Source organism: Homo sapiens, chromosome 4 (genome assembly GCF_000001405.40).
Source record: "Homo sapiens chromosome 4, GRCh38.p14 Primary Assembly".
NCBI classification, from domain to species: Eukaryota; Metazoa; Chordata; class Mammalia; order Primates; family Hominidae; genus Homo; species Homo sapiens.
Genome location: NC_000004.12, coordinates 25,653,674 through 25,678,788, shown reverse-complemented (window position 1 = coordinate 25,678,788; position 25,115 = coordinate 25,653,674). Strand labels below are relative to the sequence as shown.

Sequence of the window (25,115 nt, the reverse complement as noted above, 5' to 3'; positions counted from 1 at the left end):
GGAGGTCCCTATTTCCCTGTAATTAAAAACAACACACTCCTTTTGGGTTTGATGATTTTATTTCTCCCTTCCCATAACCAGTAAAAAAAAAAAAAAAAAAATTACAATCAGGCCTGGTGGTGGCTCACGCCTGTGATCTCAGCACTTTGGGAGGCTGAGGTGGGCGGATTGCTTGATCTCAGGAGTTTGAGACCAGCCTGAGCAACACAGCGAGACCTGGTCTCAAAATTATTATACAATCAATGCAAGTACAAAGATTCAATTTTTAAAAATCACCAGAGTACAAAGACGGCCACAGCCCCTGCCCGGGTTTAACTTACATATATACAGAGTGGGCGGGGCAGGCATGGCCACAGAGGTGGTATTACAAAATATACAAAGTGGTTTCTTTCTTTACATTTCATAGAAGAAGCCTGCCTCATTTCCAAATGAGAGCACTAGAAGCACAAATCATGCAGACCATTTACTATATAACTTATGAAAAATGCTGTACAGGGCTGTGACTATAGATATAGAGTATTTGGCTCTGTTTGGGAATTGATATCTACAAGGGGGAGGGTCAGGGGAGGACTGTCTGATATCCTGACTTGCTGGGATGGTGGAGAAGCTGGGATGGGGGAGGCCCCAATCTTGCTGCACGGCTACACCCACTCCTCCTTTCCTAGATAAGGCTGGAGCGCACTGGCCAGGAAGAATTGGGATGGCTGAGGGTGGGGCGGGGGCAGTGGTGTAATCAGGCAGGAGGCTGTGGAAGGCACAGAGAAGGCATCTAGGATGAGAAGGAACACACCCCTTTGACCCATGCACACACGTGTGCTCGACTGTACTTAATGATCCCAGTTCACTGGGCAGTCCAGTTGGGTACAGCTTTCCCCAAAAATCTGGAGCTTTGCAGGCATGGAGAGAGGACAGCTAATCAAAGCCCATCTGTGGGAAAATGGAAAAATGTTTGGAAAGAGATTCCAGTGGGTGGGTGGATGGAAAGAAGGAAGTTAACCCAGGAAGTCATCTTGCACAGAAAGTAAGGAGGCAGAGAGGGGTGGAGAGCTATTCCAGGTGCAGATACTCCCTGGGATTCAAGGTGGCAGCATGCAGGCTACGAGCCTGGATAACTTGCACGTTTTATTTCAAAAGATCCAACAGGGAGGGCTTTTGTTATCTGACCAAGAGAGGAGCGTTAGACTTTAGCCACAATGCTTTTGAATTGGGCTTCTTAGTTTGCTAAATTAAGAATCTGGGGCCCTTTTGGCAGAATGCTATGCTACTCATTCCTCACTTTCTTCTCCTCCATCTGCCCCACTCTCTGTCTCTTAGGAAGACAAGAGCAGCAGGTGAGCACATGTATCCAGCCTGAACTCTAGTTCAGGCGTGGCTCCCATCCCCGAAGCATGAGGACAAGGAAACTGCAAGTGAACTGCCTGGACTAGCACACCTGTCCACGTGAGGAAGCCCTGATGGGGAATGTGGGGAGCACTAGGAAGTGGGATAGACCCACACCTTGTGGTCTGCAGTTTCCAAACAATGACACTATGTCCCCTGACCCAGGCTGATCTGGGGCAAGGAGGCCATGGAGCTGCTGCTCTTGGTTGCCAGACTTTGGTTTAAAAAAAGGGAGAGGCCTGAGCTTGATAGTCATAGAGAGTACACTTCCTCATCTGGGAGAGCCTCTCATACATTCCTTCCCTGGGCCTTTTCTTTCTGAAGATGGTTTTTGAGTCTGAAAATAGGTTCTACTGACCAACCCAGCTAGGCGCAGGATTAGACATCCGTCCCGCCAGGTTCATTCTCTAATTCTCTTTAGGTACCATCCTGTGCCTTCCTGGAGTAAAAGATTACTGAGTGACCAGGGGTTGGAATAAAAGTGCCCTGCAGGCCTACCACCAAGCCAAAGGGAATCGAGTTAGGTAGGACTGCATCAATTTCATTCGCTAATGGGGAGCAAATCTCCTCGAGGTGGTGAAAGGGTGCAGAAGTGGGAGGGAGGAGAGCATGCAAAACTCAAGGACCATCCCCCCATCCCTGACAATCTGGGGCGTCCCCTACAAGGCCGTGCATTCGGTCTTTGAGTCCGAGGCAGGGACCTCACCCTGAGCCTCTCTGCTAATGGTTATGTTATCAAAGGTCTCAGGAGCCTTGACAGGGACATCCTGCCCCTCCTGCGCCTCCTCCAAGTCCTCGCAGCACTTGCTGCAGCGGCAGCACTTGGGGCAGTCACACAGCAAGCAGCACGCGCGGCAGCACACGCGGCAGCAGCAGCAGCAGCGCATCTGGAAGCAGCCGGTGAACTTGGAGACGACGGCATCCCAGGGCTTCAGCGAGCGCATCCACAGCGGCAGGAAGTTCCAGTTCTGGAGTTTCTTCGGCAGGACGCGTGGGCAGCGAGACTGCAGGAGTCGGAGGCACAGTACCAGGATGATGATGAAGACGACGGGAACCCCGACACCAACCAGCACCCGCCAGCCGGCCAGCGAGAGGCCAAACACCGTCAGCGGGATCAGGAAGAAGAAGATGATCAGGTAGAAGACGGCGAACCAGCGATACTTGGCAGAGATGTTGCCCAGCCCCTTGGCCATGCGGATGGGCAGGCGAGTGAACGGGATCGGGTACCACAGCAAGATGCCGGAGATGTTGAAGAAAAAGTGGCACAGGGCGATCTGCAACACAAGAGGTTGGACAGGTGAGGGGCCTGTTGCCCAATGCGGGTGGCAGTAGGGAGGAGGAGGGGGAGGTAAGCTAGCAGGCATCACAGGCAGCACAGTCTCGGGCCTTCCAGGCCTTCTTTGTCCTTATGGCTCAGCCCAGAGGGTACCTGGATTCCATGAGGACCTACTATGTGTCTGGGAGGGCCAGGAGCACTCAACTGTGCATTATCTCAATTCTCAAAAAACACTCTACAGAGTGGCAACCATTATTTCTTGACATGAGAAAATGGAGGCTCCTCAAGTCCCACAGGTGGGAGATGGAAGAGGTGGAAATTCACATCCTGGGAGCCTGGCTCCAGAGGCCAGGCGCTTGGTCACTTTCCCAAGGTGCCAATTTCCATGCCCAGGCTGTGGACCAGCACTGTCCAATACACTAGCCGCATGTCCACACTGAGATGTGCTTTAAGTATGAAATACACACCAGATTTCAAAGACTCTCAATTTTTGACAGATGACATATTAAAGTGATAATGGTTTAGATCAAATACATTATTGAAGAATGAATCAGCCTGTTTCTACTTTTAAAAATGTATCTACTAAAAAATTTTAGGATGACATATGCGGTTAATTTATATTAGATGCCTGAATTTCTATTTCTGTTGCACAGATGGCTTTGCCTCATCAGATCTTTATAATAATCCTAATGAGATAGGGGTTATGTCCTCCATCTTTCAGATGAGGGAATTGACGCTCAGGTTAGATCACTTGCCAAAGGTCACTTAGTATGTAAATGGTGAGATAAGAATTCAAATCCCCGGCTGGGTGCAGTGGCTCACGCCTGTAATCCCAGCACTTTGGGAGGCCAAGGCAAGCACATCATGAGGTCCAGAGTTCAAGACCAGCCTGGCCAACATAGGGAAACCCCGTCTCTACTAAAAATACAAAAAATCAGCCAGGTGTGGTGGCAGGTGCCTGTAATCCCAGCTGCTCGGGAGGCTGAGGCAGGAAAATCACTTGAACCTGGGAGGTGGAGGTTGCAGTGAGTGGAGATTGTATCACTGCACTCCAGCCTGGGCTACAGTGCGAGACTCTGTCTCAAAAAAATAAAATAAAAATAAATAAATAAATTCAAATCCCAAAGGTCTTGCACAAAGTAACATAGATGGTCCATGCCAAGGAGTTCTCCTAATTGTAAAGTTCCCCATAGGAGGCAGTGAGGAGATGGGAGGTGGTGTCTGTGCTTCCTAAGTACCTTTTCCACATCTATATCAAGGGGCCACCCCACTTTTGCTGAAACAACCACCAGTTATGAGGGTCTTACTGCTTCTCTCAGAACTGATAGTTTTGATTGTTCTCATATCAAGGTCCTGAAAACTTTACCCGTGGCTTCCCCTCCACATATTAGTTCCATATTTTGGATAGTACAGAGAAAAGCCTGGCTCTTGTTAGAGACCAGTTTGCAAGACCATGGGTGGTCCCACTCCCAGGGCCCCTGTCCCCGTGCCCCAAGTCCTGACCTGGAGTGAACTCCTCAATGCATTGCCAGGGCTGGCTAAGGCGGCCAGGATGGCGGTGGTGGTGGTGCCGATGTTGGAGCCCAGCGTGAGTGGATAAGCCCTCTCAATGGTTATCACGCCGATTCCTGGGGGAAACACAAAACACAAACATATCAGCCCCATGGGATGACAGGAAATGGCAGTGGTGGCCAGAGGGAGAAGCCAGGGTGTAACTCACCAATCAGGGGGGTCAAGGCCGACGTGAACACAGAGCTGCTCTGTACGATGAAGGTCATGCCTGCCCCGACGAGGATGGCCAGGTAGCCAGTCAACCATGCAAAGGGAAAGGGGAAATCTGGAAGACAGAAGGAAGAGATGTCATGGCCTCTCCGGGGAAGGTATGGCCTGGTGGCCTGGGGTAGGGGCTGGGCTTAGGGGTGAGGTTGTACATCATCCCATATATGGTCTCAGATTACAGAGTAGAGTTTTAGAATCCAGTTTCATTCCCCATTGTCTTTTGCTCCGCATATTCAGATGGAAAAACCAAGGATACAGGTAAGTGTTATGAAAACAAAAACACAGATTCCCTGGAGGTCAGGTTAGAAAGAGTGAACCCACCCAAGTAACCACTCTCCTTCCAGAAAGTGCTGAGAGCATGCTTCCTCGCCTGCCCTGGTCTCCTGTCAGCACCCACATTTGACCTTCAACCTTCATTTCTGCCTTAAAGAGCATCAAGAAACTGTAGCAGCTTGGAACATGCCTGCCAACTGAGTCCTCCACCCAACTAGCACCGGATCAGGCCCTGCATTTCCCAGAAGCACCCAGAGTTGCTCTGTTCCCCAAGACAATCTGGGGTGGGGGGCGAATTTTCTTGGCTATATTTCACTGAGCTTTCATGAAGTGATGATGTCATTGGCTTAGCGAGCTCTCATTGGCCAGGACACCCTACTTGGCAGGAAATCCTCTTAGCCAGCAGTCTCATTGGCCACCTCTAGATGCTGATGTATTTATGCATCACATTTCCTTTACAAGAGTGAAGGGAGGTGGGGGCGAGGGCAGACACCTGGGGTCCTTTTTCTAAGGGGTCTTGACAGAGCCAGTAAAGCTCTGAGCATACAGGAAACCCGCTAAGAAGGAAGGCCTGACTCACAGCTCTCTAGATATGAACTCCTGCTCAGGACCTTGCCAAGATGCAATGGAAACTTGGGCCTGCTCCCTAGACCCCACCCAGGATGCCAAGAACATTTCCAGGTGAATGACATCCTCACTTCTGGTGCTGATCCAATCTGAGAGAGAAACTCCATGCAGAGGCCATTGCTAGATGGGAATCTAAAGGACCCCCACACCCCATGCAGTGACTACATGTGAGGCCTACAAGTGAGGGCAGTGTACCTACCAGTGTTGATGGTCTTCTTGATGACAGTGGCGACCTGCCCCTTGAGCACAGAGCCCAGGATCTTGACAATCATGATCAGGCAACCACAGAGGACCAGCAGGGAGAGTATGAGCAAGATGGTGCCCACAGCAAGATCCGGGAGGTGGAAATTCACAAAGATATGCTGGCCTGAAAGACCACAAAGAATCTTGTCAGGAGGGCATGGAGCCACCACGGCTACAGATTGTTATTTATTCCCCCAGATCCTGTCTTTCCTACAAACAGATTCCTGGTTGTTAGTTTAACAGATGGCAGCCCCAAATCAAGACAGCCCTTCTCAGCCTCCTTCGCAGCAAGGGGCACCACTGAAACTATGTCATAATCAGTGGGATCGCATGAGGCTGGAAGATGAAGTGATGGCTTTAAAAATCACACAACTGTTCAGGGGTAGACTCAGCCCAGTTCTGTCTCTAAAGACCATGCTGTCGATGGTCTAATTTTTTTTTTTTACTAATGATAAGTATGCTTTGAGGGATTCGATGGGCAAGTCAAAGTAAGGGGCATTGCTAATTATAAAGCCCCTTCTGCATCCCCCAGATAATCCCAGCAAAACATGGTTATATGAATGAATGTATAGTGCCTAGAATGTGGGAGGTGGTAAGTTAACTTGATTCTTTGGGGTAATCATACCTAGAGTATTAAGATATAGTGCTCAGAATTAATGTGGTGGGAGGGTGAGAAGAGAGAAGCAGAGATATACAAAAGTATATGTAAGGAGTAATTAGAATAACGAAGGATGGCTGGGTTGGAAAAAACATTACAGCTTCTTAATAATCAGAGCATCATGCAAGCTCACTGCCCGTTCAAGAGCTACAGCCCCAGTGCCCTGAAATGGGGCCTGCTGTACAGTAGGGACTAATTGAGTGAATACATCTGTTCTATGTGGGTCCCACATCTTCCTTCAAATCGGGTTGTCGTCTCCCTAAAGTTATTTTATTTTGAGACAGACTATCTCCCTGTTGCCCAGGCTGGAGTGTAGTGGTGCAATCTTGGCTGGAATTATAGGCTTGAGCCACCATGCCTACTTTTTTTGTATTATTTTTAGTAGAAACAGGGTTTCACCATGTTGGCCAGGCTGGTCTCAAACTCCTGGCTTCAAGTGACCAGCCCATCTCGGCCTCCCCAAAGTGCTGGGATTATAGCCTTGAGACACCATGCCTGGCCCCTAGAGTTATTGACTAAAGGAATCTGAACAAAGCATGTAGAGGGAATCCTCTAGAATCTGTTGAGCTTTTCTGAGGTGGTGTGGAGCTGGCAAAGGAAATGGACTTCAAGTTCCAGTTCTGCCCTTGCTGTGGGACCTCAGGCCTGTCACCTCAGTTCCTAAGCCATAGTTTCCTCTGCTGTGAAAGCATGTTGCTCACTGCTTGATGTAGGGCAGGTGCTTGGTGACTCCTACTGTCCTTTCCTTCACTTACTGGGACTTCACACGGATAAATAGGTCACCCCCAGACAACACCTGTCATAGTGGCCAATCCACTGAGCTCCACTCACATTTGGCGATGTTCTCCTTGTAGGTCACATTCTTCATGGTCCAGTTTTGGATGCCATCCGTCCAACAGAGGGAAGGGGAGGTGCAGTTAGCAGTCGAGGGAACAGTGACGTTAATCTGGGTCTGGATGACAAACATGACAAATGCCCACAACACTGGCTTTTAGTGGGGAATGGGAGGCAATGGCGGGGGTGGGAATGAACAGGCGCAGACACCACCCATGGTGCATGCAGTATGGCCCCAACAGAACAGTTCTTTTCTCTTGAAGACTTATTTCTCACCTTTATTAGAAATCTTAGAATAACTGAGGACAACTGAAATCAGCCTTCATCATTTAAAAACATCTACTTTGTTTATTCTAGTCTCCAGTCTTTAGCACCCCACAAAAAAAATACATGTACACCCCAGAAGCAAGGGCAAGCCACAACCCAGGTGCAAAGCAGCCTGGGTAGGTTCCTGACAGAGGGCATGAATGCTCTGGGCCCGAGCAGGGGGAATACTCTGGAAAAGTCTGGAAAGTAAGAGAGAGGACACTTGCTGCCAACACCCGTAGGGCGTGCTGGACTACTTCCACAAGTCTCTCCAAAAATGAGAACAGAGCGGCAGGCAGAGCTAAGCCTTCTCCAAGAGGCATGGAAATAACAAACCAGAAATAATGTATCCCTGGGATGGGGCAAAAGGGAGTCTGTCTGTCCTACTGTTTACCTGCATTTGGCATTCATTCAAGGACTTGTTTTCTAAAGGCATTCACTGGTCACTTTTGATTTTTCAGGGACTCCCAATATTTCTTTCCCCTGACTTTCTATTTACCTTCCTTGAAGGCAAGATTTAGTTTCATGTTCAGATGCAAAGGTTCACTCCCCGCCCCGGGAATATTCTTGGAAACGTACCTTGTTGGTAAAAGTTTTGCACCAAATCTTGACAAGACTCTTGTTTTTCGCTTTTTCATCGTTCATTGCAATTTGGCTGATAACTTTTTTATCCAGCTGTGGAAACAGTAGACAGGAAACCATCAGCATATCCTCAGAACCGATTTAGGACACAAACCCAGGGGGTTGAAGTGAGAGGGGCTCTAAGGAGATAAATGTGACTGTGAGCCCCCAGAGAGGCAAAGTGGGACTCACTCTATCTGCAGAGGCACTGATATCTAGGGAGCAGACAGTAGATATTTTCTGGATGACTGAATGGCCAAGAAAACCAGTAAGAGTGAAAACACAAGGTCCTAGCAAGGACCCAGGGAGAAGGGGCTGAGATGACTCTAGGCAGGAAAGGGTAGATCATACTTTATCAAGTCCACTGGTGTTGAGGACAGCAGTGGGAACAAAGTGGTCTCAAGTGTCCAGTCTTAAGAAGCACCTCCACCCCAATAAAGGTGGCATGTTATGGAAGTCAAAGTAACCATCAAGGTCAGTCACTCTATCAGGTGGCCCAAAAGTTCTGCCTCCCTTGGCCTTTTCCAGAGGCAGCTACAGAGTAGTGTTTATTCATCTATTTATTTTTTAAAAACAGTCTCACTTTGTCACCCAGGCTGGAGTGCAATGGCACAATTCTCAGCTCACTGCAGCCTTGACCTCCCGGGGTTCAAGCGATCCTCCTTTCTCAGCCCCCACATAGCTGGGACTACAGGTGCACGCCACCATGCCCAGCTAATGTTTTGCATTTTAGTATAGACAGGGTTATGCCATGTTGGCCAGGCTGGTCTCAGATTCCTGACCTCAAGCAATCCACCTGCCTCGGCCTCCCAAAGTGCTGGGAAAACAAGGGTGAGCCACCATGCCAGGCCCAGAATAGTGTTGTAGACACTCTATATCTGTCAGCTCAGGTAGGGGATGTTGTGGGTAGGAAGTTAGTCTCCTTCTCTCTCTGAAGGAGCTAAGTTACCTGGACAATGAGCTTTGTGAAGGGCTTAGTGATGACTTTCAGAAGATCTGGGGCATCTTCTCCATTCTTGAAGTGGAAGCTCTCCACTATAAGCTGGGTTATGATCTCGAGGTAATGGGTGGCCACCTCCACGGGCAAGAGCACCAACACGGACAGCCAGTTGAAGAAGTCATGGACAGTGGCTCCTGCAAAAGCTCTATGGGAGGGAAACCCCGACAGCCAGATTAGTCACTAAGCAAGTGGGCACCATGTGAGGTGGGTCATTACCTGTATCATCTGCCACCCTCTGCTAGGTGTCACCTATGGAAGTGTGCACATGTACACAATCTCATTTTTGTTCTCTCATATCGATCCCCAAAGTGGCTGGTATCTATATTCCCATTGGCCAGATGAAGAAGCTGCGGGCCAGCAAGCATGTTACGGCTGGAATAATTAGCTCAGCAATCACTGTTTCGAAGAATTGCATCAAGGGCACTTTTGTATCATGTATATTGAAGGCTACCTTCTTTTGGAAAGGTGGGGACCAGTATGAAGGCAACCAAAGCCCTCTATGCTGGAGTTTTCAATTGTTCCAAACACATAGAAATCATAAATCCCCAAAGCGGTGGGCACCTCAAATACCCTGATTTGATCACTACACATTCTATGAATGTAACAAAATATCACATGTTTCCCAGAAAGGTGTAAAAATATTTTGTATCAATAAAAAAATTTAACTTAAAAAGACCTCTATGCAAGTGAATTCTTAAACTTTTTTTAAGTTCTTGAAAGTGATGAAACATGAATAGTTTCCATGGGAAACAAGGCTAAAACATTTTGCATCCATCTGAGGAGGTTCAAAGATTCCTCCTCGATTCCATCTTATCTCCAGATTTAAAAAACTCTGTTCTGGATTTTTATGTCTTCAATGAAACAGCTTACCTTTTAAAAAAAAACTGAAAAAAAAAAAAAACTAGCTAGAAGAGGCTAAGAAACACTTAATTTTCACATTAACCTTTTTGAAAGAAAAGAGTTTCCAGCATTCTACCTGCTCTAGTTTCAGAGTTTCTGCATACGCAGAAACTAGGTTTTGTTTTTTATTAACTTGTAAGTGAAGAACAAAGAAAAGGTGGCATGGGTTGAGCTGACCGAAAGTGGAAGTTTAAATAAGTTATAATTATGACCAAACAAAACAGTATTTATTTATTTTTTTTTTTTTTTTTAGATGGAGTCTCACTCTGTCACCCAGGCTGGAGTGCAGTGGCACGATCTCGACTCACTGCAACCTCCGCCTCCCGGGTTCAAGCGATTCTCCTGCCTCAGCCTCCAGAGTAGCTGGGATTACAGACGCTGGCAACCACGGCCGGCTAATTTTTGTATTTTTAGAAGAGATGGGGTTTCACCATGTTGGCCAGGCTCCTGACCTCAGGCGATCCACCCGCCTGGGCCTCCCAGAGTGCTGGGATTACAGGCATGAGCCACCACGCCCAGTCCCAATAAATCCTACTCTTCTAACTGGCCTTGCTTCAATTCCGCCACCCAGCGGCTAAGTTTCTAGCTAGAGTTTGCATTTATTTAGTGAACTCAATGTGCTGGGTGCTCTGAACACTCACCTGCTGGGTTGTATATTTAATCCTACAACAACTCAGTAGTGATAGATAGTATTATCCCTGCTCTGCCGATCAGGGAGCTGAGTCTAATCAGCTGGTGAGTATGTGATCCAACCCTAGCCATACCTCCCTGTGGTTACTTCTAGGAACTCCAGGAATGAACCTGATAAGCATGTCATCTTTGGCTGGTTAAAAGCAGTTACAACAGCGTGGCCAAGAACAATAGAGCTGATGTCGCAAAGGCTGGTTTTGAGCCTCTTACCTTCTGAACTCACTCCGATCTCCCACCTGCATGAGCGCAACAATAGTGTTGGTGATTGACGTTCCAATGTTGGCCCCCATGATAATGGGGATGGCAGCCCGAACAGTGAGCACTAGAGGATGGAAAAGTACCATTAGCAAGCTTAGAAAGGCAGCCTGGAGGCAGGCTAAAGTTACCTATGCTGGTATCCTCTAAAGAAGTAGTTTTTATCCTCTATGCAAGTGAATTCTTAAACTTTTTTTTTGCACCTCACTCTGCACCTCACTATGAATCTGAAGAAAGTGCCTTTCTAGCTTCCTCCTTCCTCCCTATTGCAGATCCAAGGCTAGCCTGAAGGAGACCAGGAGGCACCCACTGATTAAGGACTTAGGTGGATGAGTGCAGGGCTTGCATGTACAGTTGAGTCAGTTGTGCATGGCACACAGGCTCGCCTTTAAGGAAGCATCAGTTTTTTTTCTTTTCTTTTTTATTTTTATTTTTTGAGATGGATCTCGCTCTGTCTCCCAGGCTGGAGAGCAGTGGCTCGATCTCAGCTCACTGCAACCTCTACCTCCCAGGTTAAAGTGATTCTCTTGCCTCAGCCTCCTGAGTAGCTGAGACTGGAGGCATGCACCACCACATCCAGCTAATTTTTGTATTTTTAGTAGAGACGGGGTTTCACCGTGTTGGTCAGGCTGGTCTCAGATTCCCAACCTCAGGTGAGCCTCCCACCTCAGCCTCCCAGAGTGCTGGGATTATAGGCGTGAGCCACTAGGCCCAGCCAGGAAGCATCATTTCTGTGCTGGATATCAGACATTTAATTCTAGGCAGTGTAACTTTTTCCAACAAAATCAGCATATTGCTGCACCTTTTTTGATATAAACAAGTAAAATATTTTGAAAGTGTAATACCTTTTTCTAACTGGACGAGAAACATTCTAGTTAATTTTGGCTAAGATGCTAGCTTGGGAAGAAAAATAGTTCTGGTCAGGGGCTGTGGCTCAGGCCTGTAATCCCAGCATTTTGGGAGGATCACTTGAGCCCAGAAGTTTGAGACCAGCCTGGGCAACACAGTGAGACCCAAGTCTCTATTTAAAAAGAAAATAGAAAAAAAAATAATAATAATCAGTTCAAACTGGTCCCCCTCAGAGGGTCTGTCCAACGTAGCTGCAGCAATTATCAGACAGGTACAAGTTTAGTGTGCCATCTCCCAAGCTCGGTTGTCCCAGAGCAATTTGTGATGTGATTAAGTTGTCTTTCTTCTTAGCACTGAGAGTGGCCCTGTCCCAGAGAACTAACTTTCTGCAGTGAAGGAAATGTTCTATGTCTCTACTTCTCAATAGGGTAGCTGCCAGCCAGCCACATGTGGCTCTTTAACACTTGAAATGTAACTAGTACAACTGAGGAACTGAATGTTATATTTTAATTTTAAATCAATTAAGGTTCAACAAAATTAAACTGCCACATGTGGCTAGTGGCTACAGGTCTGGAAAGTACAGTACTAGAGAATTCAGAGCTGAGAACTCCAGCAGCAGGGTCTATTTCCAGATCCTGCCATCGAAATGGAAACAGGAAGTTGCCTTGGATCAAGAGGGAAACACATTGTAGCTGGGGCAAGATACCAAGACAATGGTGGCAAGGCCTGGACATATTCAGAGTGAATTCCTCCCCCGTCCTTCCCACCCTCAGATAGACAGGAGAGTGTCTGGAATGCAGGTGGGCTCATGGGTGCCCCGACTCACATGAAGAGGACACCATGCTGACAACGATGGACGTTGAGGTGCTGGAGCTCTGCACCAAGACGGTCACCAGCACCCCGATCACCAGCCCCAACAAAGGGTTGGACATAATAGAGCTGTTGCTGAAGAACTGTCCTGCCATTTTTCCTGGGAAAAACAAACAAACAAACAAAAACAATCACAACGTGATCGAGGGGGATTAGGTGGGCACTGAGTAAACAGAAGTCTCCATCCAAGGCCAGCTGGCTGTGGGTTGCAGAGTCCAGCCTCCATCGCTGCAGGCACCCAAGGAATCTTGCTTCCCCATGCCTCTTCCCAGTGCTGCCCCGATAAGGCAGGAAATCTACTAGCTGCCCACACGTGCCTCCTGTCTCTGTCTCTCTGCCCTGGTTCCCGACCCACTGTGAGCCCCTGGTTACTTTTGTTCCTTCACCCTGCATCCTCCCACTCTTCAAACACTCCTCAGTCAGCAAGCCCTTCTGTGCTCAGGAACCCAGCCTCAACTCCATACTGGGACCAGTGGGTTCCAATGAGCCTCCTGGATGTCTCTGGGGTGTATACCCAATTCAGATTTATCCTCCAAGAGTAGATCTCTCTATCCACCCTTAGCCCTAGCACCAGCCTGTAATTGAATGCTGGGAGAGTTATTCTCAAGAGTGTACCTGAGACCATCAATGCATTCCCAAGTCCATTGTATAAAGAAGGTGGAAGCCCAGAGGATGCAGGTGATTTGTCTGAGATAACCAGACAGCAAAGCCCCTAGCTGATGCTCCCATGGACCAGGGAGCCCAGAAGCAATGTTCAGGAGGCCAGGCACGGTGGCTCACACCTGTAATCCCAGCACTTCGGGAGGCGGAGGACGGGCGGAACAACTGAGGTCAGTAGTTGCAGACCAGCCTGACCAACACGGAGAAACCCCGTCTCTACTAAAAATACAAAAATTAGCCAGGCATGGTGGTGCATGCCTGTAATCCCAGCTACTCAGGAGGCTGAGGCAGAAGAATCGCTTGAAGCCGGGAGGTGGAGGTCGCGGTGAGCTGAGATCACGCCAATGCACTCCAGCCCGGGCAACAAGAGTGAAACTCTGTCTCAAAAAAAAAAAAAAAAAAAAGCAATGTCCAGGAAGTGTTTGCCCCTCATGCTCTCCCATGAATGCCCACCTCCCCAACTCTCCCAAGTCACACAGATGGGTTCCCAAGAAAGGCACCAAGGGTTGCAGAAATCCATGGTCCTTTGTGTCACCCAGATCTGAGACTGAATCTTACTCTGCTAATCACAGGCTGTGAGTCTCAGGGCTGGTTCATGATCTCTCCGTAAATGGGAGGGCTCTGGGAAAGAATGTTTGATAGAGGGCCCCCGAAAATGCCTGCACCCAGTAGACGGAGTGCTGCTTGTTTGTTTCTGACATCACCATTGAGGTACAAAGGGAACCAAGCACATGGTGACTTCACTCCTGGGTTCTCACACTGCATGGGCACACGCAGCCCTAAGGGCTGTGAAGGTAAGTACAATGGATGCAGATTCCTCCAGCCCAGAGAAGGGGCCCTGTCCTTCCCCCAGCAAGGGCCCATATTTGAAAGGGCACTCTTTCTCATTCCAGAATTCTCTCTGGTGTGGAGGATATAGGAATTCCTCAGCTAAGTCTGTATGTCAGACAACTTCCTGCCTGGGGTTTGTGGACAAACTCAACTGGCGGATAGCTTGGAATAGTCTAGCCCCAGCTCCTGGCCTAAGCCACCTGGGCCAAGTCATAGCCCTTTGTATAGGCCTCAGTTTTCTCTTCTATAACGGAAAGCATAGACTTCATAAATGATCTGAGGTCGGTTCCAGTCCTAAAACACTCCAGGAGGCTGCAGCTGGAGAGGGCTTGCTGAGTTTTACTCTCGGAACCACATTTCAAGATAATGCCCCTCACCCGCAGACCTCTCACCCTTTCATTCTTACCTCCAACCAGCTGGAAGGCGCTACTAAGAATATCCAGGGAGCACACGAAAAAGTAGAGAAATCCGAGAAGTAAAATCAATCTCCCAATCCCTTGGAAGAAACAGAGAATCTTCCCTTTGGTGTCTCTCTCTGCAGGGGGGTGGGATGGGGGGAGAGAGAGAAAGGCATGAAACTTTTAGTGTTGGAAACCCTGAGAAGTTTGGCAATGAGCTCAGAGCTCCCCCGACCTCCCCTCCCTTCCCAGCCTGGCAGCCGTTAAGTTCTTATGTCTAGCCAGCCTTACAGATGGGAAGCAGCCATCGCTGCAGCTTTCAAAGCAGTTACCGCTGTGGTCCATTTAGCTGAAACCCCTGGTAAAGTGCCTCTAAAGGATTTGCGTTTGGGAGGAGGGGTTCAATGTGGTCTGCGACAGAAAAACCAGGCTCCATGCTCAGCTGAGCCACAGTGTCACTGAGTGAGGCAGTTGACAGCACTAGCCACCTGCTAAGTGCAGGGTCGGAGATAATGGCTGTCACGTTCCAAACAGCACAGAGTATTTTCTAGAATGCAGCTGCACAGCAGCAATCAGCCTCAATTTATGGAGGGCTTGGGGCATCATACATCCTGGGATGCTACATCCTTAAGTGCTGTTTACTCCACTGGCTTTTAAAATGGTTCTCATCTTCCCCCTCCCAGCTCTTTCCTTCCTACCTCTCCTCCCCACCCCACACCCCAATCTCCTTTTTCCTCCTTGCTGTCTAGTTCACAGACAGACCTTCTGCCCTACATACATTTGGAAATGAAACAGTGATTGCTTGCATCCAGCTGTCTGGCTGCATATTTTCTTTTACTAGAAATATGCCCACATTTTGGTGAGGGGACCCCTCTGAAAGCTCTCTGAGAAGAGGGGCCTTTTCTGTTCATCACTGTATCCACAGCATCTCCAAAGCAGTACCTGGAACCTCATCACCCACAGCGAATTATAAGGAGCCAGACAATGTCCATCTTTGCTATAACCACAGTGCCTGGCACATTTGTTGAATGAATGACCCCCAATTACTCCAACATGCTTTGACTCTACCTCAAAGATGGGAGGGTGGCCGGGTGCTGTGGCTCATGCCTGTAATCTCAGCACTTTGGAAGGTCGAGGAGGGTGGATCACGAGGTCAGGAGTTCGAGACCAGCCTGGCCAACATGGTGAAACCCCATCTCTATTAAAAATACAAAAATTAGCCTGTAATCCCAGCTACTCAGGAGGCTGAGGCAGGATAACTGCTTGAACCCACGGGGCAGAGCTTGCAGTGAGCCAATATCGCACCACTGCACTCCAGCCTGGGTGACAGAGCAAGACTCCGTCTAAAAAAAAAAAGATGAGAGGGTGACATCCCTAGCCAGGACCCTTGCTTCAAGGGAATCAGAACAATGAAAAGGGGGAGGGACAGGAGGATGATGACACCGTGAACCACAGGAAGTTTCCCTCCTGAATGTCTCAGCTGGCCTCACTTTTACCTGACCACTTGATCCCCGAGTCCTGAAGAGTGGGTAGGTTCCAGGGGTCATCCACCTCAGTGGGCTCATCTATCAGTGTAGCCGTGGAGTAGGACGGCAGAAGTTCAATCTTGGTTACAGGTGCCTCAGTGTTATCTGCTGAAACAAGCAAAAGGGGTAATGAGGAATCAGACCTGAGTCTCCTGGGGTCCTCACAAAGGCCGATCTGCAGACAAACGAGCGACACTTACTTTTGTTGGTCTCTTTGCTTTTATCAGGGGCAGTGGGCTGCTGACCTGCGGCCCCTTCGAGGTACTTATCGGGGTTGGGCTGGGCATCTCCCAATTCAGGCCAGGGAGCCATGGTCTGTGGATGAGAAAACAGCTTAAAGCAGCAGTCATGGAAAGGAGGCACACCGAGATGCTATAAGAGGAAGAACCATTGGTTGCAAAGCATCAACTGGGTGGGGGTTTCGGCCGGAGGCGGCAGTAAAAGGAAGGGAAAGATTTCACACTTATGCCCCCTAAGTGTGGCATATTAAGCACCATATTTCCTCTGTGGTTCCCCTTCAAACACTCACCCAGTCGCTAAAGCAAACTACCTCGTACAGTGTTGAGTTAGCTGCATGTACCACCTTTAATCTCGTAAACTTGTTTTTGTCTTGACTCTCTCCTTCAGTCAAAAGCAGGGTGCAACGGGCACCGTGGCTCACGCCTGTAATCCCAGCACTTTGGGAGGCCAAGACAGGTGGATCACCTGAGGTCAGGAGTTTGAGACCAGCCTTGACAACATGGTGAAACCCCATCTCTACTAAAAATATAAAAATTAGCCGGCGTGGTGGCACACGCCTATAGTCCCAGCTACTCGGGAGGCTGAGACAGGAGAATCGCTTGAACCTGGGAGGCAGAGGTTGCAGTGAGCTGAGATTGTGCCATTGCACTCCAGCCTGGGTGACAAAAGTGAAACTCCTTCTCAAAAAAAAAAAAAAAGAAAAAGGCAGGGTGCAAGCCCATTCATCTTTGTTGTCTCATAGCATGCCAAATCCTCACAACCCTTCAATGGAACCCCATCTACTTCTTATATCAAGACAAGTGCACTGCAAATCTATGCAAAACCTTATCCAGTGGAATTTAACAGATTTATACAACTTAGTGTGTATGTGAATATATATGCAGGGGCCAGGCGAGGTGGCTCAGGCCTGTAACTCCAACACCTTAGGAGGCCAAGGTGGGTGGGTCACCTGAGGTCAGAAGTTCGAGACCAGCCTGGGCAACGTGTCAAAACCCTGTCTCTACTAAAAATACAAAAATTAGCAGGGGATGGTGGTGGGTGCCTGTAATCCCAGCTACTTAGGAGGCTGAGGCATGAGAATTGCTTGAACCTGGGAGGCGGAGGTTGTAGTGAACTGAGATCATGCCACTGTATTCCAGCCTGGGGGATACAGAGCAAAACTCTGTCTCAAAATATATAAGTATATGCAGGTGTTCATATACCTTCTGCGTGTTTTACCTACCACCCAGGCCTTCTGTGAAAAGAGTGATGGACCTGGTTTTAAAATCCAGCAGTGCCACCTATTAATGAGTGTGTATTTAGGCAAGTCCCTTTATGCCTCTGAGCATAAAGTGTCAGTTTCTCCATCTATAAAATGGAACAGTTCTTGCAGGGTTATGAGACTAATAGTGAAATTAAAAGTCTAGAAAGTGACTGGCATTGAGGAGGCATCCAATAAATAGCAGCAATTATTACTATGTCATGCTGTCTGGATTAATCATCCTTTGTTAGAACCACATTCTTTTCAGCCTTCAGAAAAGACCTTCTTACAATCTATTTTCTTCACAAGGCCTTTCTCAGTTACATGGTACTTGACACACCTCACATTCCAGTCCTTGCAGTCCTTGTTCTTTGACATTAGACAATTAGTCCTTGTCCATTAGACAAAGCAGTCCAAAAGATTGGAGAAAGGCAATTCACAGAAAAGGAACAAATGGCTAAAATGCCTATTAAAAAAGAAGCAATCCAGGCCGGGCACAGTGGCTCATGCCTGTAAACCCAACACTTTGGGAAGCCGAGGCAGGTGGATCATCTGAGGTCAGGAGTTAGAGACCAGCCTGGACAACATGGTGAAACCCCGTCTCTACTAAAAATACAAAATTAGCCAGGCGTGGTGGCATGCACCTGTAATTCCAGCTACTCGGGAGGCTGAGGCAGGAGAATCACTTGAATCTGGGAGGTGGAGGTTGCAGTGAGCTGAGATCACATCATTGCACCCCAGCCTGGGCAAAAAGAGTGAAACTCCGTCTCAAAAAAACAGAAGCAATCCCATATATTCAAACTAAAACAGTGACAACTATCAAAGTAGCAAAAAGAATTTAAGTTCATTATGCTATGCTGGAGAAGATGTTATGAGTTGAACACTGCTAGAAGCTCTGGAAAAGTTAGCAAACTGTCCAAAGTGCCTTATGTTCATCACACGTCTGTGACCCAGTCATTTCACTTCTAGGAATCAGGAAGCTAGGAATATTTCCTCTCAGAAATTCAGAAATACCTAACTTACTCTGATCACCTCTTCCAAGAGGGCTTCTTAGAGCCTGAGTCCACCTGACTCCTTTCTTCGTCAACCTATTTCCTGCTTACCAGACTGCAAACCCTACCAAAAAGTGGACTTTGTCTTGTCCATCACTTCATCTTTAAGGTCTTGAGCCCTGCCGGGCATATTTATGATAGAATGAATGTGATGTAGACCAAAAAGATATTTGCTGCTCTATCATTTACAGTGTGAAAAAATGAAAAAAGAGAAATTACTCCTTCTAACTATGGTATGTCCATGCATTGTAAGAGCATGCCATTAAAGAGGTTATACTGAATCAGTAAAACCATAGGGAAATGCTTTAGATAAACTTCACATCTAAAGCACTTCTTTTTCCCATTCACAGCATCATCTCAACAAGGCAGACAAGATCCAGAAATGTTCTCTGGAGGTAAAAGGGAGTGGTGAGACTGTGGGTGATTTTTTAAATTTTAGAAGAAAATTATTTTAAAAGATGCAACTCAACCTCTAAGCTCACAAAGGTAAGATGGCTCAGTGATACCTGGAGAGAGGCGAATCACAGTGAGGGAGGGCTGGCTCTGCAGAGGCCTGCCCCTCACTATATGCAACCCTGAGCCACTCTGAGCTTCAGCTTCATCATTGTAAAAATGGGGACAATACCATCTTGCTTACTGAGCTGTTATGAGGACTAATTGGTTAATAAGTGTAGGTGAGGCTAGAGCATGGTGCCTGGCAGAGTAAACACTCGGAACTCTTGTTTATTGTTCATGACACAATGTGGAAATGCACTGTGTCATGAACAATAAACAAGAGTGTTTATTACGTGGAAATGCACTGTGTCATGAACAGTAAATGGCCTCATTTCCACTGTGTGTACCCTAGACTATAAGCTCTTCATCTCCAATGCTCAGCATGGTAGTGGATCTCAGTTAATATTTGAATAAATGAATCCAAAGCCTGTGAGAGAAAGATGCTAATGTTTGTTTTGTGGCAGAGGAGTGTCCTATACAGTTTGTGACCTCATTAAATCTACCAAGGAAGGAGTTTTTCTTCTCAGTGTACAGACAAAGAAACTGAGGCACAGAGAAACAAAGAAGCTTGCCTCCAACTACCTGGAGCTGGTGTCAGGATATGAACCCAAGACTGCTGGCTCCAAAGCCAGAAGCTTTTCCACAGATCTCACAGCCAGGGGCAAAGGGAGGAGAAATTCTCCAGCCCTCAAAGCACCAGGGCACCCAGGGGCCTTAGGTCTAGGCACATTGAGGGCTCTGAGTGTTTTCGGATAGCTGGCTAGATTGGCATGTCTGCAGGTCACTCCCACATGATCATTCAGATGCTGGAAATGCCCGCCCAAGAATGTTGCAATGGATGAGCAGGAGGGGAGGGTGGTGGGGGTGGGGTGGGTGGGTGGGGGTGGGTATTAAATGGTGCAGGCAGAGAATGTACCCTGGAGCTCTGAGCCCCTCTAAGCCTTTCTCCTACCCCCATAGCCCTGGCGCAACCACTGCCTTGTTCTCTCCCAGCCTTCCCAAGGCCTCACTCCAGCACATTCTTGCCACCTGCCAGAAGCAGCAGAGGAAGGGAGAAGTCATCATTTGGAAGCTTTTTACTAAAGCCCAGGGAGGGGCTCCCCCGCTGCCACACTGGCCTCTATAACCGAGTTGCCTGTGTGCCTCACCCTCTTGGCTCCACTTCCTGCACCACATGGGCACCCACTGCCAGAAAGAGCTCTTATTCTTTCTTGAAGACCCAGGAGAGGAACTTTCTTGACTTGGCTCAGACTTGGGAAGCAGGGGAATGTAGGGTACCTGGCAGTCACCCAACCCCTACATTCGCATTGTTTGGGCTTCTCCAACCAAGACCTGTTCCTGGGCCCCTTGTGCCCAGAGCAGCAGTCAAGGCCATCTGAAGAAATGGGGAGAGGAGGAAGCCCAGGGCAGTGGTCCTGTGAGGAACCAGAACATGGACACACAGTCTCCCATCAGAATGGCAGCCTTCACAAGCACAGGGACTAGAGTATGGCCATTGTATCCCCAGCACATAGGACAGTGCTGGGCACATGGTAGCCAAGTAGTGTTTATTAAAGACTTTGTGCCTGGCACTTGCAAATTGGTGCACAAATTTACTCACAGCATTTCATGTATCTATGTAAACTTAGAGTCTCCTTTAAAATGAACAGTATCCTCATTCTATAGAGGGAAAAACTGAGCCACAGAGAGGTTAATGGCTTCAAATCACATAGGCACCACAACACTGCAGAGATAATTTCAACCTCATGCAGGCCAGTGTTCTCGGGATGCCCAGGAAAACTTTCTTGTACTTTGAAAGAATGACTCTGTGCTTCAAAAATTCCCAAGAGGGTGACGTCTCCTTTTCCTCTGCTTCCCTTACAGCCATCACAAGGAAAAATAATCACCCCTATAGGCTAAGGGTGGTGGCTCACACCTATAATCCCAGCACTTTGGGAGGCCAAAGTGGGAGAGTCCCTTGAACCTGTGAGTTTGAGACCAGCTTAGACAACATAGTGAGACCCTGTCCCTACATTACTGCTAATAATAATCTCTTCAAGGACACAATGGTGGTAGTGATGAGAGGAGTCAAGGAAGCAATTGGCCTGGGCCTCACATTGATAGATAACTTGAGTTTACATTTTTGATGTGGCACACTAATAAACTTTAAACTTGGGCCATATCACCAAACCACACCCTCACCATGCACTATCAATTTGTATTTATGATATCTTAAAATAAATCCTGTAAATAACTTGTAACTATATCAGTTGTGCTGCATTGTATTGGGGGGGGAGGTTAAAGCAGTTAAATTTGTAAATATAAACATCTTAAAAATACCGCAATCTTTTTATAGCCCTCTTTTTGTACCTTTGCATTTTAAAAATTCACTGAGATGAATAAATTCCCTGGGATGTCCTGATTGCTCCCTGCGGTCCCCAGAATGGAAGTGGGGGTGTGGGTGAGGATGGAGGAGTGGAAGATGCCTGAAACTGGTTACTAAAGCCCAGTTTATTCCAAAGCACTCTGATTCTGTGAGGCTGTTTTCCTCATTGCATTGAATTCGGGCTATTTTTTTGTCCCCTTTGTGTCTAACAGCAACAATCAGAAGCCCATCCTCATACCACAGGGGACTTGCTTCATTGAGACAGTTGAGCAATTTGGGGAGTTTTGGATGGGGCAATTTGTTTAGCATCCAAACCTTTTACAAAGCACGCCTTTCTTATCACCCATTCCCCAAATTACAAAAGCAGAGAAGATCATGATCAGCGGGCATGGGACAAAAGAGGCAATCTTTTTTATTTTTGTTTTTCTTTAACAATCTGAAACAACGGCCACTCCTACAAGCACAGTTTTCCAAGAATACCCAACCCAGGACAAGTTAAAGAACTGCCAGCACACAAGGGAAGAAGGAAAAAGGAAAGAACGACAAGGCCCAGAGCGATCAGGGCTAACACAGAAACCCCCTGGGGCACCCAAACAGGAAGAGGGGACTCGAGTGATGAAATCCACAAGCTGCTTCCATGAAATCAACATGTTTGAAAAAGGGACCTCCTCAAAGAAAACGAGATTCCAACTCTCTTCAGCGCAGTGCGAGCCACCGGTGGCAGGCACCGTTGCAGGGAACCTGAACTAACTCCATGCCATGCAGCCCCCAACTTTCTGGCCTGAGGATGCGCAGTCCCCGAACCCAACCACTCCTGTGCACATCTCCTTGTAAGTTATCTCCCCAGCCTGCTCACCCATTTGTGGCTTGGAAAACATAAATTGCGGGCTTTGCTCCCCAAGACGGCTGAAGGACGGACCCTTCGCTGATGGCCACGGGCCCTAATAGAAACAAACTAAGACTGTCTCCTAGGCACCTTAAATAACTGCAAACAAGCACTGTACCACGTGGAAGTCACACTTGGGTGGGGGGCAGTGTCACATCACCAGGCAGCCACCACAAACCTAGAATTTTCATGGTCCTGAGATGTCGCATTCCCCTTCTTATAAAGAATGGAAGACGGCAGCCCAGGGGCTCACAGGGACTAGCGTTGTCACATGGCTAGTTGGTGACCCAGCCACAAAGAGCCTAGCTATCCTGATTCCTAGGTGGAGATTTCTATCCCCTGGGCCTTTCCTCTTCCAAACCACGACTCTCAAAACAGTGATCATTTTAGAATCCACAAGTGTGGCTGATTAATAACACTGTCGATCGTAAGAGTGTAGCAGCAAAAGCTGTAATAAAAGCAATAACCGTAACATTAAGAAGAAAACAACTTGAACATTGTGGAGAGCTTTGTGTTTTTCACTTCTGCGGCCCAAAGCCAGCCAAGTTCCTTGAAGTCAGCACCGAGAGGTATTTGCAAGAATTAAGTGAATCAAAGTCCTTGAAAGAGCGAGGAAGCGCCCCTGCCCCGGCGGCGGTACTCACCAGCGCTCCCTCCGCAGGTGCTGGGCTGGAGGCGGCGGCCAGGTGGAGCGCAGCGCCCCGGGTATATATGGCGAAGGTGTTGCGCAAAGAGGCTGGCCGCTGTCATCACGCCCCTCGCACATTCCAGGACCGCCTGCCGCAGCCGCCGCCGGGGCACTGCCTACCTGCCGCCTTAATGAACCCATCGCGACTTCGCCCGCTGCGCGGAGAAGACGCGCGGCCAGCCAGGCTGCCGAGAGAAAAGCTCCGACGGGCCCCGCCGCGCGAACTGGCCCGAACGGCCCCAAACGGCCCCGCGCCCCTCGGCGCCCCGCGCGCCCTAGCCTGGCTGGTGCGCGCCCTCTCCCGCCCCGACTCGGTCCGCACGAGATTCCCGCAAGTGGGGCTCTCCCGCCCCTGCCTTCTCCTCAAGAACTTGAACCTTCTAGTCTAGCTCCTGTGAGGCTCAAGAGGTCAGAGACGTGAAGACACAGATAAAAGCCAGTTGGAAAGTCAGGGATAAAGCCCTTGGAAACAAAGCCTGGATTGTTCACCTTTATCAGTCTGTGGGGCGCTTTCTGCCCTGGGAGTCTGGGCTCTAGGTCCGCAATGGGAAAGGCTGGGACCGTCAAGCTGAGGAAAAGGAAGGGGGCTGTTCTCACCACTCCGTCCTAAGCCTGCTGCGGGTTTGGCAAACCACTGCGCTCGTTTCACATCCTGCTCTGCCTCGTGTCACCTGCGTGTGTATACAACAGTTCTCCAAACTGCTGTGAGATAGGATCTGTCCCAGGGAGAGTCCACCCCCATGCTTATCCCAACAGCTCCCCAGTTCTGTGCCGGGCACTGCTGGGCAGGCTTTGTCTCCAATGTGCACACGAAAGCCTTCCCTGGGGCTAAGACTGGCGCCCTCTCTAGCTGAGGTTTAAGGGGTTAGGGGATATGATACAATTACCCAGGATTTGCTGAGCAGGAAGAAAACCTGCTTCTTATTCTGAAACCCAGACCCTCTCCTCTGCTGCGCACTCTCCTGGTTTTATAGTGGAGCACAGTGAGGCTCAGTGAGCTTACTAGTTGCCCAGCTCCTCACAACAGCGGAAGCACCCTACTGGAATTAGCTGGTTTCATTCCAACATCGAGTTCTCTCCACTGTGCAAGGGGAAGGACTCGGGAGCACGACTTCCAGGAGCCTAGAGCTCTGGGGCTGGTGTTGGCGGTGGCTAAGCACACTGACTCTGGGCCGAAACTCCGGGAAATCAGTTCCCTGTTCTGCCCCTTGCTTTCCCTGGCTCCATTTGCTTATGTGCAAACTGGGAATAATGGTCCCCGTTGGAGTAAAGTGAGCTAAAATATGTAAAGAATGTGGAATGGTACTTGGCACATAAATAGTATTCAGTGCGAGTTAACCATGATCGTTTTCACAGGGAAACTCTGGTGTTGGGAGAAGATGGGTGGGAAGCCTTGATTAGACTCATCTAGAACCTTCACTGGAGAAATCAAATCTGCTTGGGTTGCTGTTATTACAGGGATGATGGTTTTGCTAGTGGGTGTTGGCCTTCAGATCCAACTCTCAGACAATGATCAACCAGTACCTTTGCAACAAGCAGCTTCTAAAGCATAGTCCACTGATGACAGGAATCCCCTGGCACCTGTTCACCAAGCTCAGCTCTGCCTCCAGCCCTGGGCAAGGCGGACTGCAGACACCACTTGGCTTTACAATGAGGAAGGGCTCTACTGCCAGGGTGCAGAGGAGGAAGCGTGCTGCACACACTGCTGTCGGTGAACTCGACCCGGATTCGGCAAAGCCTGGCTCTTAGTTCATGTCCTGCTCTGCCCTGTGCTTGGGGGTTCACAGGAGCAGGTCTTAACAGGACAGTCACCTCAATGAGAATCCCCTCCTGACTGTGGGCTTTCATTTGGGACACAGACCTAATTGCCTTTCCATTACTTTCAACAAGGAGTGAATGTAGGAGGGAGACCAAAATTTCAAAAACTTGGAGAAAGAAAAAGGTATCCCTTTTGTGTTCCGATTAAAAAGGCAAAACAGGTTCAATCCCGAACATTGTTCTCTTAATGTGTATAGATCTTGGTAGTAGATCAGGGATGGTATCTGATTCTAGTTTGGGATTGTAATTTATATAATTTTTTTTTACAAAGTCTGGAGGAAAGGTAGATGGCGTGTCTGTGTTCATCACTCTATAATCTCTCCCTTTAGGAGAGTACAATTTGCTGAAGAACATT

At 48.3% G+C, this 25,115-nt stretch overlaps 1 protein-coding gene across 3 annotated transcripts, besides 1 other annotated feature; it reads right to left on the bottom strand.

Annotated features, from left to right (window-relative positions):
* On the bottom strand, window positions 41-22,938 carry SLC34A2 (solute carrier family 34 member 2). Of its 3 annotated transcripts, none has more exons than NM_006424.3 (13): window positions 22,899-22,938; window positions 16,177-16,291; window positions 15,947-16,084; window positions 14,459-14,587; window positions 12,518-12,661; window positions 10,798-10,909; window positions 8,947-9,142; window positions 7,956-8,051; window positions 7,068-7,188; window positions 5,535-5,702; window positions 4,377-4,493; window positions 4,160-4,284; window positions 41-2,654 (listed from the first exon to the last, which is right to left on the bottom strand). In NM_006424.3, exons 2-13 carry the CDS (start codon window positions 16,286-16,288, stop codon window positions 2,040-2,042), a joined length of 2,073 nt encoding a protein of 690 aa, NP_006415.3. In that variant the 5' UTR covers window positions 16,289-16,291; window positions 22,899-22,938; the 3' UTR covers window positions 41-2,039. The 3 variants fall into 3 exon arrangements, with proteins under 3 accessions (NP_006415.3, NP_001171469.2, NP_001171470.2); NM_001177998.2 differs by having other exon boundaries at window positions 15,947-16,081; NM_001177999.2 differs by lacking the exon at window positions 22,899-22,938 and adding an exon at window positions 22,225-22,325 and having other exon boundaries at window positions 15,947-16,081.
* Window positions 22,575-23,488: an enhancer, noted in NCBI's record as "H3K4me1 hESC enhancer chr4:25656923-25657836 (GRCh37/hg19 assembly coordinates)". NCBI's record gives its function as "activates a minimal SCP1, AML or CMV promoter by ChIP-STARR-seq in primed H9 embryonic stem cells {active_cell/tissue: H9 hESC(primed)}" and the evidence as "EXISTENCE:reporter gene assay evidence [ECO:0000049][PMID:30033119]".

What these genes read in the sequence shown, in the direction of transcription:
- SLC34A2 (NM_006424.3), bottom strand. Translation starts at nt 16,288, where the DNA reads ATGGCTCCCTGGCCTGAATTGGGAGATGCCCAGCCCAACCCCGATAAG. An exon ending in CAAGAAGACCATCAACACTG is followed by an intron (nt 4,494 to 5,534) that starts GTAGGTACACTG and finishes TCTGTCTTCCAG; the next exon opens with ATTTCCCCTTTCCCTTTGCA. An exon ending in CATTGAGGAGTTCACTCCAG is followed by an intron (nt 2,655 to 4,159) that starts GTCAGGACTTGG and finishes CTTGTGTTGCAG; the next exon opens with ATCGCCCTGTGCCACTTTTT.